General features: G+C 36.3%; 2 long non-coding RNA genes across 2 annotated transcripts in view; both read left to right on the forward strand.

The window, feature by feature from the left end:
- Positions 1-8,982, forward strand: part of LINC00989 (long intergenic non-protein coding RNA 989) — an 83,868-nt gene extending 74,886 nt beyond the window's left edge. The window contains exon 4 of the long non-coding RNA NR_038826.1: positions 7,663-8,982. This is a non-coding gene — a long non-coding RNA (long intergenic non-protein coding RNA 989). The remainder of the gene's footprint in view (positions 1-7,662) is intronic.
- Positions 1-16,629, forward strand: part of LOC107986294 (uncharacterized) — a 61,322-nt gene that overhangs the window by 5,324 nt on the left and 39,369 nt on the right. The gene's annotated exons all lie outside the window — the stretch shown is intronic.

The raw sequence follows: 16,629 nt of genomic DNA on the forward strand, positions 1-16,629 counted from the left end.
TATGAACTGTTCATAAACTCCTAGGTCAGGCTGATGCTTTTGGTCCATGGACCACACTACCAGTAGGAAAAGTAGAATATTTCCTGATCTTTAGAATTAAGAGAAATAAGAAATCTTAGAAAAATCCCAATATGTCAATGCCATATATCTTTATAGTAATCAGCCTTTATCTACTTAAAATGAGAGAGAAGAAAATTTAAGTCTTCAAGGGTAAATCACAACATTAAAAAAAAAGTCTGCTCCTGGATACTTATGTTTACAAATAAGCTAAGTAATTTGCTCATGTAGGATGACCAACTACCTCAGTTTGCCAGGAGGATTGTCCTCATATTAACACTGAAAGTCTCATGACACAGAAATCCCTCAGTCCTAGACAAATGGCCACACTTCATAAGGCACGTGTTGCATTAAGAGAGTTCTCATGGTCTGTTCAAAGTATCATCTTATTATCTATGACAACATTATTTTAAAAAATTAAAATGCTGTATTTGGAATCAACTTGTTTTGTAATTTGGAAGAGGAAAGGAGGGATATTCATATCTTTTATGACAATGTGACCTAAAACTTACTTGCTGAGACAAGCAGTTAACCATGTGACTTTTGTTACTCTTTCATTCTTAAAAACTTGAGCTAAAGAGAAAATATTGATTTAACATAGAAAGTGAACTTTATTTTTGACTTTATATCTACTTCTTTTTGTTTTACCTTGTCTACCTCTCAATTTTTCCATGTTGTTTTCTGATATATTATTTTAATTATTCAAAATATTAATGGAACAGAATATCTTCTTTTAAGTTATGAATGCAATCAATTTTGAGTCTTTAATTTTTTTTCCATAAAATATTTTAATTTAGCCTAATATAATGGCACATCAACCAGTAATAGGTACATTAAATTGAATCATGATGCTCATATACACATTTTATGACACAATCAAATATCTTAATGCATTAATTCATATCTATCAGTTAATAAAATCAAGTAGGAAACATTTCGCTATTGCTGCTAACTGTACTTATCCCATTTACTGGATGAGAAGTCTAAAAAATCTCAACAACTTGATTCTCAGGACTTTTTTCCTTAGATGTCTGGGACTTGGCTATTACTCTAGCTTTTACTAAGTTTATTGGCTGTGGATAAACTAAGAAGCTGCCCCAAATTCTACTTTATGCTTCAGGTTTTCATGAAGTGAAACCATTCTTGTCAAATTAGTAACACACGGAGTCATGCACATATTGTGCCAAATCTGATGGAAAAGTGGTAATGGCTCCCCAAAGGTACCTTAGATCTTGTCTATCATTGACACATCATTAGGAAGTTATTACTTCTGGTGCATTAAATGTTAACCCAGAGTCTTAGAAAAGTTAAAAAGTGAATGGACAAAAGCAAATTATTAGATAAATTAATTACTTTTTTTTGTTCACTATTTTTAGGCTGGAACTGTAGTGGATATTATTTGAGATAAGTTAATATACAATATATATTATCTTATTTTAAAGAGTCAAATACTATTTAGTAAAGCGTGATTAATATACCTGAAACAACTAGAAAGCAATTAAATACTCATCTACAAAGAACTATCTATAAGCTTAATAGGATTTTATGTTCAATATGTTGCTCTTTTTTCTATTTTTCTTCTTCAACTTTTCTTTTCTTTAGACCTAGTATGTGTTTCATGCTAAGCAGAGTATAGTGCATTCTGCTTTACTCAGATAACTAGTTCAAAGTAGCTTAAGGAGAGAAGGTGATTCATTGAAAGGACACTGGAGTGTGTAACAATACTGAAAGAAGAGTTGACTAAATAAACTTCAGGAAGAGCAAGGGTTCCACTGGGCCTCAAGTATAAGATGATAAAGCGGACAGGCCATGACTGTAATCCCAGCATTTTGGGAGGCCAAGTTGGGAGTATTGCTTGAAGTTCTAGAAGAGCTTGGGCAACATAGCAAGACCCCTATCTCTACAAAAAAAAAAAAAAATAGCGGGGCATAGTAGTGTGCACGTGTAGTCCTACCTACTCAGGAAGCTGAGGTGGGAGGATTGCTTGAGTCCAGGAGCTCGAGGTTACAGTGAACTATAATCATGCTACTGCACCCTAGCCTGGATGACAGAACAAGACCCTGTCCCTAAAAGAATAAAAATAAAATGATAGGGAACTGAATTTCATCAGGACTTTCTCTCTCCTACTCTCCATGCCAGCTCTCCTCTGTCCTACTGCAGACCATCTTCCTCCATATGATAGGTAACATTGCTGCTGACAGTTCTTCATTTTACATTTCACGGGTACCACACCAGATGCTACTTTCTTTCCCTATTTGAATGCAAAACATTGCAAAAAGGAATTCAAACTAGCCTGACAGGGCAGGTAGCTCCCATACCCACATTGATAATATAGGATCAAGTTGCCTGAGTAATATACAAGTATAACAATACCCAGCAGAAATGATGGTGTGGAAGGAGGATGGCTCTCATAGAAAGGGAACACTATTCCTGGAAAAACAAAAAGGAGCTGAGCGGTTGTAACCTAGAAGTCCACCATGTACACAATTCTCATGTAATCCTTTCAAAACTTTTAAAAGCAAATATTTTTATTAAAGATTATTATTTTCACTTTTTCTTTTTTCTTTTTTGAGACATCGTTTCGCTCTTGTTGCCCAGAATGGAGTGCAATGGCACGATCTCGGCTCACCACAACCTCTGCCTTCTGGGTTCAAGCCATTCTCCTGCCTCAGCCTCCCGAATAGTTGGGATTACAGGCATGCACCACCACACCCAGCTAATTCTGTATTTTTAGCAGAGACGGGGTTTCACCATGTTGGTCAGGCTGGTCTCGAACTCCCGACCTCAGATGATCCGCCTGCCTCTGCCTCCCAAAGTGCTGGATTACAGGCGTGAGCCACCGCGCCCGGCTATTTTCATTTTATACATTTGAAAATTTCTTTCTTCCACACATGATACTCTGCTGACTTTCTGTACATAAGGTACAATATGACTGGTAATTTCACCGGTTTAGCTTTGTCTTTGACTCTATTAGAGCTACAAATCCTTCCACAAATGGCTAAATACTGAGGACATCTTGAATAGAATTTGTAGACCCCTACCTCACTTGAACTCTAAAACCTGCCTGTGTCTTTCATTTGGTCCTCCTACTTTGAAATTTGACCTCGACCTCTGCCCCAAATCATTGTCTTAGTTTGGGTCCCTTACATGTAGATGTGCAGGCTGTCAACTGCCCAACTGGTAGAATGCCATTCTCCAAATGAATGGAGGCCCCTGGGGTTGTAAAATGTGGAGGATCCTTCTCAGACTTGTGCACCTTCTAACAATTTCTGCTGTACTAGGCCTTTCCAGCCTATTCCATTTTTCAGTCTCCTCTCTTCCATTGTCCAGACTAACTACTTCCAAAGGTGAGATATTTTTCTTGTCCTCCTCAGAAAGATGGGTATTTTATATAATAAGATGAATTAATTGGATATGAAGACATACAGGATTTCTTGCCTAATACACAGTGGACTCTGAAAGCCAAGATGGTATCCTCTAATATCACCTTCCCGATTATTTAACTGCTCCATCTAATTGTGGCCACCTGGTTAAACTGACATCTTTTTCTTGCCTTTGCTCAACCATGGCTCAGCTGTGTAGACTACGTGTTTGCTATCACTTAGGGCTTGCCATAAATTCTATCCTCAAGCTCCAGCTAAGGAACTAGTGAATTATCATGTGTGTGGAAGGGACTAGCACATATACATTAATGACAACAATGACATTTAGAAATGGGTCATTTTCCTCTTTCTCAGTAAAGATAGTCTTTGTGGATTTAAATCATTAATGCTGTTTTTTTCCCCTCACCATTATGTTACCATAAAAATATTGAAGTGTAACAAATGATTTGCTTATCTATTACTACTAACGAAATGGTTGGAAAGAGCTTAGAAACAGTTTTCTGCTTTTATTTAGCTGAAAAAAAAACAGTTTCTATAGCTTCCTTTTTATGCAAATGAAGATGCCTACTCTTTTTGCAGACGTTATTATGGAAGGATATCATTGATCATGTCCTCAGGGTAATAAATAATTACTCTACTAACGTATTGCTCTGAAAGAAACTGACATGAAGTAGTTTCAAATTAACCACTGCTAATTGCATGCATTGTTTCATACTTATTACTGCAATCTGATTAACATGCTACTGAATAGAACTGGCAGGAAAGGTTCTTTCTGCTGTATTTCAACTTGTTTTAGCTAAAAACTTGGCTAAATGTGAAATTTACAAAGTTAGAAGGTTAAATCTATTGCTGAGGAAAACAGGATCATTGTGGTATAATGAGCTTGACCACTGCCAGAATTTTTATTTTACGAATTTATGTTTGAGAAATTGACATATTTTTTAGATTTCCAATAGGAAAAAATGTCCTTTATTATATGCACAATCTGTTATAGATTAAAACACTAAATCTCTGATATGAAGTTTCTTCAGTAAACTCTTCAACATAAGAAAAACAGTGCCACTTTTCAATGTAAAATGAAATCTGTAAGAATAAAAACATCTCAATTTTGGCCTTGTTACTAAATTTGCCATAAAAAATCTAAATTACTATAAAATGGAACTTTAAAAATGGTGTATATTTGCTATTATAATTGTTATTCCTACTTATCTTCCCAAGATAAATGGGATGATATAGAAAGACAAGTGAAATTGTTATGCTTATAAATGTAGAGTTAATCAGTTACACTAGTGAGCATTTTTATCATAGCTATCCTGTGCCTCTGTCCTAAGTTCAAGGGCAAATTATATACTGAAAATGATATTTTGATAAAAGTTGCAAATCTACATTTTATGTACCTTTATTATGCACTTACGCATCAGTCTCCATGCAGTAAATGCACATGTTGTTCTATGCGGTTTACAGTTACTAAGTCATTTAATTTTAAATGACCCGATGGTACTATTAATATCCCTATTTTAATAGATGAGAAAACTGAGGCACAGAGAGGTTAAGTAATTTTCTCAAGGTTTCGGAGCTAATATTTAATACATGGTGGAGCTAGAACTCAAACCCATGGTGTCTGGCTCTAAAAACCATGCACTTAGGACCGGGCGTGGTGGCTCATGCCTGTAATCCCAGCACTTTGGGAGGCTGAGGCGGGCAGATACCTGAGGTTGGGAGTTTGAGACCAGCCTGACCAACATGGAGAAACCCTGTCTCTACTAAAAATACAAAGTTAGCTGGGCGTGTTGGCGCATGCCTGTAATCCCAGCTACTCGGGAGGCTGAGGCAGGAGAATCACTTGAATCCGGGAGGTGGAGGTTGCGGTGAGCTGAGATCATACCATTGCACTCCAGCCTGGGCAACAAAAGCGAAACTCCCTCTCAAAAAAGAAAACAAAACAAAAACAAAAAACATGCTCATTACTGATATACTATGCTGTCTCAGCATATGGACCTGGAAGATGCATTATATTGGTAGATAAGGTAAAATGTATGTTTTTGGAGGGTGGCATTGAAACTGATTCTTATGTTGTTATAACTTTGAAATGTTGGCCTGAGCTCTGATTTATAGCTGATACTGTTCCCCAGCTGCACACAGCTGATCTGTCTATGGCCTTCTGGTCCTTCCTTGGATCCCTATGTCCATCCTCCATTCTATGGCCCAGGGTTTACTCAGCACCCTGAACCCTAGAAGTTCACTTATAATTACTGGTTGGCTGTAGCCTCCTCATACTGGCCTGGGCTATACACATGTCTTTCCAGCTCTGAGTTTAATGACCTCACATTGGTGGCTTGGAATCAGCCAGGGCAAAAGTCTTTACAGCATGGAAACCAGCAAATGCCTTCTCCCCATCCCTCGCCCCATCACTTTGGCAATCTGGTTACTCACACAACACTGCCTAGGATCTACTACCATTCATATCCCAGGATAGGCATACCCCGAACATGGAGGTTTTCATGTGTTTTTACTGTATGTCCCCATATGGCATTATAATGTTAACATTCATGGGTCTAAGCCCTTCCTGGACACCAAAGAAGAACAAAAAAATGGCAGAATCTCAGCAATACAGCAGCAGTGGCAAAATATGATATGTGCTTTCCCTTACAATTCTGCATTTATTGCAAACATTACTAATCACTCATGACATGACAGAGCCTGGCCCCAGACCCAGAATCCTCATCAACATAGCACTCTAAAGTCTCGACAGCCACTGCCAACCACTCAGATTTGGTACATGAGATGAAATTATTTACTGTCCCTCTTAGAATCAGAAATTCTCATTTCTCCCTAGGATATTCCCACTCTGTATTATTTATAACACTTCCCTAAGTTATAGAAAGATTTCTAAAAATGATGACCATGAAAGAAAACTTGTTGTCCCCAAAATTTAAATATTTAGAGCATAAGATCCATCCGCTATTCTGCCTGATAAAATCAGTTATGCAATACTCTACAAAGTACTTCGGCATTTGTAATTTTCCTAAGGACTCCATGCTCATGTATTGATATTCATCCATAATTAAATATATATGTTTGATGTCAATATTCCTTTGTTAGTCAGTGGAAATATATGAGTTCTCTGTTCATTGAAACCAGCTCAATGGAAATATTCTTTGACTTGGTGATTAAAAGAAAGGAAATTTGTCTTGCTACTGATGTCAAAATTGTATCATTAAAACATTTTCTGAATATAGAACAGAGTAAGAAAAAGTTTAAAATGTTACTTATTATTTTTTCATCTTCCTCTTTTCTACCTCAAGCTCAAATTTTTAGAAACAATTCCCTTAATTTGTTCTAGTTTCAAAAAGAGAATTGCAGGGATATATGGAGATACATTTATAGAGTTTGAGTAGTTTAGAGGTATGTTTAAAGGGGAGCATTAATCTATCAATACAGTGAAAAAGCATCTATAAGTGATGAGATTGTATGGTCTATATCTGATATAAATAAGCTCACTTAATATCTACATATATAGTGAAGACTACTCATAATCTCAAGAGATTACTATCCAGACATGTGAAAATTGTATATCCACTTGCAAAATTCCCAAATAACATGAAGAATGCATAAATGCAAATTGAGAGGTTTACAACAATAGCTGTCAGAGGAAAACCTGAGCTAATTGGTGAAAGGTGTTAGAGGCAAGGTTCTGAAGCATGAATGAGAATTGGATGAATGAGAAATAAAATAGAGGGAATGTGAGAAGGTCTGCATGAGCAAAGGCTCCAAAGAAGGATGGTGTAAATCTTATTTAATGGAAAAGCACATCAGAATAGGGGCATTTGCAATGAGGGTAGTGGTCATAAAGAGTAGGTGACTTTGAATATCAAAATAAAGAATTGATTTTTATTTAGAATTGTGTATCGTTTCAGTCTATGAGGCCATTATATTTTTATCTCATGTTTTATAGGCAGAAGTATCCTAATCTTTATATGAACCCTTGCAGAGCAAGGGTAAGCTTCTTATCTAATGTTACAGGAGCCGTGAAACAAGCACAGGATTAAGACTTAGAAAGCGTGGATTTGAATTCTGGGGCTGTCGCTTACTAATGGATGATTTTTGCATGTTGCTTAACCTCTCTGAATCTTAGTTTCTTTATGAACATCATAGTACATAGCTGTTGAGATTGGAGAGCCGAGATAGTTAGGATTAATCATGCTTCTTTCTTCCACTCCAGTTTTGAAACCAATGGAGAGATCAACACAAGCTTTGGAGAGGAGATCAAAATATCTGCTTCACTGGAAGGAGTTTTGGATTGCTCAACAAGGTTCAGATCTGTGGCATAATCAGGCTTCCTAATCCTGAACCAAAGTTGTTGTTGTATCTCGTAGTTGTCACCTGAGAGCTGACTGACCTGTTTCAAGCATATGTGAGATGCCTTCTGGAAATGCCCGGAAGCATATAGCTAATGGGATGAGGCATTTCAAGGTTGAACTTCAGCAAGAGCAAGTGGGATAAAGGGCAAAAAGCAGCACATTCCTTTCAAAATGTCCCCATTTTAAACTGCAGGCTAGAGTAGACAATGGAAATATATGACATATAAAGAAACTGGTGAGATTATTAAGCAGAGGGCCTTCTGGGGAGCATTAAAGAGTGAGCAAGAAAAATTTCTCAGACATGGTGATTCTAGAATTGAAAAATCATAGACTCTTTCTCTTCTCTCTCCTTTGAGAGTTTCCAGATGAATTCTTGGATCTGGCTACTGAGCAAATATATGAATAATAACCTAGGATCAGCTGGGTATAAGAGGTTTCCACCAGAAGTCCATGAAAACCAATGTTTTTAAGCATCTATTGGGCAACTACCATAAACAATCAGCAAGATGTTTAAACAGTTGATTCTGCCGGCGGCCCAACCAGTTTTTAACTGTATCACGAAAACTGGCCTGGGGGTACAGTCTGAGATTATTCCAGCCCTGCTTTTACACCGCCAGAAATTCCCTTTCTGTTACAAATTTCTACCCCAGAGAGGTTTGCATATTCTTGGCATTTTCACTGTGCATCAGTGAATCAGCTAGCCTACGGGCCAAGGAGAGGGGAAAAAAATCCCAAATAAAACTCAACCCAGTTAGGATGTCTTCATCTATTTTTCAGTGGGAAAAAATACAGCTGGACTCAGTGACTTCAGTCAAAAGCAAACATTACTAGTTGCTTCATTTTTCTAATTTTTATTTTTGACTCTCAAGTTTTGGAGGGCATAATAAAGACATAGCCTCAGCAAAGTCACTTAGAAGATTGAGTTCGTTATTTTGCAAAGCTTGGGTAGTGACACTTCTGCAAAATGCACAAGCACATGAGCAGAGAGATGTGTGAATTCAGGAAAGCAGCCAAATGCACATCAGAGCTGAGGAATGTCACAGCGAAATGAAGAAAACTTGTAAACACCTATCTGTATTTTTAGGTAGAGAATGTTCTAACATATTGCCAATGGGTGCTGCCTGTGTGTTCCTTCCCCTAAGCTTTAAACTCAACTGATATTAAAGGTGATTTGAAAACAATGAAAATTGACAGCTTTATTAATCTAGATGGTGTGTGTGAGAGAGAGACAGAGTGTGTGTGTGTGTGTGCGCGAACACGCACATGATGTGTGACTGCTGCATGTATAGACTGTGCATTTTTACTGTGGGCCTTGCACAGACGAGGGAGCCCTCTACTGATTGGAAATTGTACTAGATGTAAACTATAGAGGGATGCTTTCAGTGCGTTGCTCATGTATCCTCCAAAATGCAGACATTTTGCTTATTTATTTTTCAAATTATGACAGCAGATGCTTTATTTTCGGAAAGGAACTAGAGATGTCAGTCATCATGTGCATACAAGTATATGTCATTCCTTCTATTTAAGGTAAAATTCTTTGATTAAAAATATCTACACTCAGTCTTCAACCTTTTAATATAAAGATGATTGTAACACAATTAAACCACAAATGTCTACATGACTGTGATGAGAATGTGTGACAGAGATCATAACCGCGTTTATCTATTATCATGGTTTATCACACACTATTTTTTCCCTTAAGCGTGTATTTCTTATTTTATACTTTTTTTTTCTCAGAGCATAAAGACAGTTTTAGGGGTGACAATTTGAACTCATTCATGTGGACAGGTTTGTATGTGCTATATTTTCATATGCATAGTTAAATCATATTATTAAGTCCTGTGTACAGACAAGATTAATATTTAGTTGCTTTTGAGTTTAGATACCTGATTTTTAACCTCATGTCTTTATAAAATAATTATAGTTCAACTTTTCATTAATTTAAATCAATGAATAAAAGTAAAATATGGCTGGGTGCACTGGCTCACACATATAATCCTAGCACTTTGGGAGGCTGAGGCAGGAAGATCGCTTGAGTCCAGGAGTCCAAGACCAGCTTGGGCAACATGCCAAAATCCCAGCTCTACAAAAAATACACCCAGGTGTGGTGGTGCATGCCTGTAGTCTCAGCTACTTGGGGGGTGGAGGGGGGAGGATGGTTTTAGCCCAGGAGGTGGAGGTTGCAGTGAGCCGAGATCACACCATTGCACTGCAGCCTGGGCGACAGAGTGAGATCCTATCTCAATAAATAAATAAATAGAAATATTGTTCGCTTATTTTCAACATGACTGGCCTAATCCTATTATGGGATAGTCTCTCTTACCCTAAACGAGTTTTTTAATAGATTGTTTATTATTAGAATGCCAATTATTCCAATTTTTAACAAAGAATTAACATTTTTCTTGGAAGTTAGCTTAAACGTTTATTAGTTTTATATATAAATTTTACAAGAGAGCCTTTATTAAATCAAATTTTTTTAGAATTAAACTCAGTTTGAGTCTCATTCTGTACATAACTTTAACCCTAACCGTAGTTGAAGGCACTGTGTGTTGTTAAACAGCTACACCTGGAATTAACATGGCAGCATAGCTGACTGGGACATGACAGTGACACAGCTTTAACATCTGCCATCTTTTGACCACCAGCATTAATTTTGTTTCTACATCCAATGTCCTCATCCCTCACCAATCTGTCACTCTTTCTGTGGTTCCAACATTACAAAATAGCCATTGCCTTTATTTCATTGAGGATAAAACACATAATGTCAACCTAGGATGATCAATTTACTCTGCCATTAACAGCCACCATTTATGAAATGCCTACTGTGTGCCAATCCCTTTTCAAAAAAATGACCCAAACCTTAGAAATCTGCATGGGAAATCTCACTATTCCAGTTTGTCGGTTGGTATTCTTTTTGTTTGCAAATGACAAATTGTACTCAAACAAAGTTAAGCAGAAGAAGGGGACTGTATTACAAAGACACTGGAGTATCTCATATAATCCCAAAGGTCAGGTATTGCTTTCTCAAATGACATGTCCTAATAGCTTCGCCGAGGTTTCATTTATTTCTTACTATGAGTTCACTGAAAGTTAGGTGTGGATAAAAGTATCAGTCATTATTTCTGAGTATTAAACTACAATGATTTTTGGATATGGCTAATTTCTAATATCCCTAATTTTAATTTTGTTTAAGAGAGAAAATCCTTTTTTGCTGATTTTTCTCTAATGTTTTTCACACATATTTGAGTAAAAATAAATGCCAAATCAGTTTATATGCCAGCTAAAGAGTTTCATAAACTTGCTACATAGCTTGTAATGCTTTCAAACTAAAGGAGTAGGCAATAATCAACTATAATAAGTGCTATAGAGTTTCACATTTAGTTTTTATTTCTGTCACTTGTCTATGATTCCACAACAAAGTTCTGGCAATGGTCTGTGGTATCCCCAGTTCCTTCCCCTTGTGGCTGAAGAGCTGGTCAGTGCAGTGACTGGGGAAGTGACCGCAGAAGGAGGGCTGGCAGGATTGCCACAGCGGCGGCTACTGTGCCTGTCCTCATAGTTTAAGCATGTCTCTATGTTGCTGGTGGAACAAGTGGTGACTCTCTGAATGTAAATGCTCCCAATCTGGTTTAATTTACCACCATCACTGGAATCTCCCTTTCATTCTAGCTTGTCTACTGGAATCTGCTTTAGATTCTGCTCTGGTCTCCAGCTCTGCATAGGAATGCCCTGTATATTAAACCTGAATAACAATAATTCAGTGTATTGATGGACAACTTACATTATTAGCATGCAGTGCTGGGATTAGAATATTAGGTGGTGAGATCAAGGATAAGGTGAGATAAGATCATTTAGGATATCTGGTTTCTCTACATTACTGAGAAGGTCATCAGGGGCAGGGATGGGAAAGGTTGAGTTGGCTATGCATTTCACTTACAGTAAAGACCTGCTTTAGTTAGACTGCTCTCCTATTACTAGATAAAAATGAGATCCTGTTGTATGATTGTTGGGGAGTATGTGCCATTCACATAGCCTATGTAGATAGCATTCCTTAGAACATAACCCCAATTACAGTGCAATGCCCTAGAACTGCTGTTACTTGAGTTTGCCTAATAATAGAGATGGATCATGCAGGGTCTGTGCTCTGTTCAATGATCAGAAATGGATACATAAAATTTGGGCGCAGATATGAAATTTGTACAGGCAGAGGAAATTTAATCAAGCCTGAAAAAGAAATGATTACATGTTACTTTTTGGAAGGAATCATTTAGTATGCTACATTTCCAATGAGTTAATTTAACTGTCTGGGGAAAAAATTCCATGAAATATTATGCTCATGTACACTCACCAAAGGAAGAGTATTATTTTAATTTGGAAGCTGTTACTCCTCTTCATATATAATCACTAGGTGAGCAAACTGATTCTTTCATATCATACAGTTGGCAACCGAATAAAAACAGGCAGTTACCCTGTATGTACGTTTTCAGCACATTTTGTCTTGTGATAGGATTGAGTTCTAATGCTTTCTCTTTGTTATTCATAATGGTGTAATTTTTGCAATATATTTCAAAGTGGAGGACTTTCCAAACCTTGTAGCCGAAGGCCTTGAAAGCATACTGTCTCAGGGGGTCATTGGACTGAAAACATGGTTCTGGTTAGCGAGCACAGCCAGCACAGGGGTGAAATGCATTCTGCCCAGAGAAGGCCTGGGCTGAGACATTCGGTTGAACATGTCTCAGTTCCAGTCACCTTCCCAGTCTAGGAATGACCAGAATACCTTTTAATCATACAGCCAGTTTGGTCTCACTAAATTCTGCTGTAAACTCCATATATTGCTTCTGGAAATCTCTTAGACATTCTATTAACTCTTGAAGCCTGATTTCATTTCCTGGACACTGGTTCCCTTGAAAACCTGATGTCTCTTGAGATTTAAATATATAAAGAATAAACTTACAACATGACAAATATATAAAAAATAAACTTACAATGGAGATGCTTTTAAGAATAAAGAAAGAAGGTAATGTTGATAAATCATTACCTTCAGTGCCTGTAACATAAAAAATACTCCTAAGACATCATTATTGCCATGACTCTTCCGGGTTTAGTGTTCAAGTGAAATTTTGTCAACTGTCCTTAAATCCTAGATAGAGTACTCATCAGTGCTAAATAAATTTAACTACTCTAGGTGTCAGCATAGATAATCATATAATGATATGAAAATTTAAAATTCAAAGTTGGCAATTACTTTTCCATCTGATTTAAGGAGTTAATGGATGATTGTAAACTTGGTCATCTGTTTAACTCAAGTGTTTCAGTATGTAGGGTACCCTACAGAGATTAAGACTTGGGGTCCCATGATTTGGAGTCAGAAACCTGAATTCAATTCCAATTCTTCCATTTAGTAGCCATATGTTTCAAAGTGATTCACAATTGCTACAATATCCATATTCTGTAACTCTTCCTAAATACTCTTCTTTGACAAGAACTCTGCAAAGCCATTTCATGTACAGTAAGAAGAACAAAAGTTAAGAACATAGAATTTAGCATCAGACAGAACTGGTTGGGTCCCATTTTTAACACTCACTAGCTATGTGACCTTGGACAACTTCCCAAACCTCTAAAACTCAGTTTCTTCCTCTGGCTACTAAAATTAAAAATAGTATTAATCTTATAGTTGGCTGTGAAGATAAGATCAATTACAGATGAATGCTCATAGCACAGTGCTTGCAACATGCTACATTTTGAAAAAATACTAATTTATTTTATTATTTTCTCATCACTAAAGTTGAAATAATTATATCTTCTTTGTCTATGCTATAGGTTGTTTTGAGTATCAAATGAGGCAATGTGGTATATAAAACTATACATATAAAAAGGAAATTTATAAATGATTTTCTTGAATTTTCTTGGGCAGAAACATACTTGGAAAACAGTGCCAAATGCTAAGGCTTAGAAAGTGTTTTGCCAGAAGATATGTTAATCTTAAGGTTCTCTTCTGTCTACTACTTTAACAGTAAGAAAGTAAAACTGGGACAGTAGTTACTCTTACAAAGCTATCACTCTCTGTCAATGACAAAGCTACATTGTCCTAAGTCAATAAAGTAACATTTATTGATGTCATATATACAAAATCACCATCTCAATTAATTTTTTCTTTTTCAATTAATAAATGAGACACTGTATTTTGTTGTTGTTCTTATTGTTCTCCAAATAGGAAACCTTTAGTTTCTTAATATTTTATCTCCCTTAAGATTCCCTGAAAATTAAAAAAAAATGAAAAAGACTATTAACCCAGTGATAAATATTCATTAAAACTTATATACCTAGAAATGGGATTCTTTTCATAGACAGGTTTCTATGTTTTTTATATTCTCCTAGGCAGCTTTCCAGATTTTCATTCTTGAATTGATAATCTAAGGTCTGATCACCGTAAAGAATTGTGTTAACACTGTATTAGAGTCTTAAAATAGTTTGGAGAAATTTAAAATATATATCTGTATAAAGTTACTATGCAGATGCTACTTCTATCTTCCAAAAGTCTCAAAATTCTTGATGCAAATAAAAAAGTGCATAATATTTTAATATAGGTTCATATTGATTTTATGAGACTCCTCTGAAAATATTTAGTACACTTATTGATATGAAATTTAAATTCAGGCTTTTTTTCCATTATACTGGCCAATTGAATGGAATTTCATCCAGACTGAAATATTCAAACAAATAATAAAGGCACACAAAAAGACATAAGTAAAGTAGATATAATGATGTAATTAAAATTAACGTCCTCTCATTCCTGGATTAACCATTAAATGGGAACATTTTCTAAGGATCTATCATTAATTCTCTTCTGTTTTCAATAATGCATTCCATGAGGGAGATTGCATCCAATCCTTTTATTTTAAATTCTACTCTTACTCCAAGTTATTTTCCATTTTCTACCTTTCTTTTGAGGTTCATATTTATATTTTTCAGTACTCACCAGAAAATTGTACCTGTGTGTTCTGAATAACCGTAATTGAACTATCTTATTTACTCTTTGTCATGTGCCTGTTTCTTTATATTTCCTATACTATTGAATGCTCCATTATCTGCCTAACTCTCCAAAGTAGAAATCTAAGATAATTTATCAGCTTTTATCCCCACCAACTTCTACATCTAAACATTTCACAGCACTGTCCACTTTGTATCACTGAAATAGCTGTTTTAGTCCAGTTAAGCTCTATCTCCTCCTCTGGTGTGAAGAGGAGGAGGATGGTCCCAGGCTTTGATGGACCAAGATCTATTGCCTCAAGGACAGGGCAGTAGTAAATTTTTTAAGAGATTTGTAGGGGATCAGCTCCTTTTCTGAGAGGCCAGCTTGCTGGGGACCAGTCTTGGACAAGTGACCTTTTATTATTAAAATATTATTGGATATTGTTCTAGTCACAGTTATTGAATACAAAAAGTGACTCTTTTACTGCCCTGCTATCTCTGTCTTTGTTTCAACCATCATTCCCCTCCAATATAGCTACCTTTGTCAAAGTCATGCTCTTAAAATACGTAAATGCTCATATTACATACTTAAAATCCTTCCATAAGGCCCCATTGCTTATTGAAATCCAAATCCTTATGTGACCAACAAGGATTTTAATGACCAGGCCTCACTCCACAGACTTAGGCTTACAATTATTCCCATAACAATTTTTATATTCTATACAATGCATTTCATTTGGTATTCTCTTCTTACACTCAATTTTAAGTTGACAAATTCTCACTGATTCTCTAAGATTCTGCCTAAATATTTCTGTGAAGCTTTTCTTGACATTCTTTTTCTACATTTCCCTCTGGAGTTGTACAATGACACAGCCTTGTTTGTGTGTGTCTATCGTACATATATTTATAATTGTAATTGTTCCCTTATAGATTTGCATTTGCTACTAAGTTGGCTGTAAGCTCTTTCAGGAATTTTGCCATTTATGTCTTTGAAGCCCTGTACCTAGCTAGTCACACAGTAATTAGTCAATATCTGTTTTAAATGAACGAATGAGTGAATGAACAGGAAATGAAGTAGCCCATGCACTTGAACTAGAAGATGAACCCTCTTCTGTGGTTCGCTAATATCTACACCCTGCATGAAAACTTTTTGAGTATTGAGAACATAAAACAAAACCAAACATTTTTCTCAAAAAGGAGTATTTCTCACAGAAGTGAAGATGGGAGCAATGGACACTGGAGACTTCCAGAGGGAAGAGGGGTGAGGGCAGAAGGACTGCTTATTGGATGCTGTGCTCACTTCCTGGGTGATGGGATCATCTCTACCCCAAAATTCAGCATCATAGTGTTCCCATGTGACAGACCTGCATATGCACCTCCTGAATCTGAAATAAAAGTTGAAAATATTTTTTAAATAGTGTTTCTCTATCAATTGCTTGTCCATGTAGTCATTGATTGTATTAAACACATTAGTCAAATGAGTTTTGATTTGTACACTCTTCTAAGGAAGTCAGACTCATTGTTTTTGTAGTTGGTAAGAACAAACTTTAAATTTCCTCCTTATAATAGCATTTTACATCCAGAAATTATAATTTATCTGGGAATACATTTCTTACATCATTCAGGGTTGATTCTCCCCCATACAAATTTTGGCTGAATTTTGTTTTCAGCAATGGGAGTCATAAAGAACCGTTCAAAGCTAGAGAGAACAGTAGCTTCAAGCTATAAAATAAATGAAAGATTATAGGGGATGAGGTGCATATATGTGTATGAAGTGTGTGTGTATGTATATGTATGTGTAGTATGTATAGTGTATATTCTGATGGTCTACTTTGGAACATAAAAACATCTTGTAA

Source organism: Homo sapiens, chromosome 4, assembly GCF_000001405.40.
Source record: "Homo sapiens chromosome 4, GRCh38.p14 Primary Assembly".
In the NCBI taxonomy this organism is placed as follows: domain Eukaryota; kingdom Metazoa; phylum Chordata; class Mammalia; order Primates; family Hominidae; genus Homo; species Homo sapiens.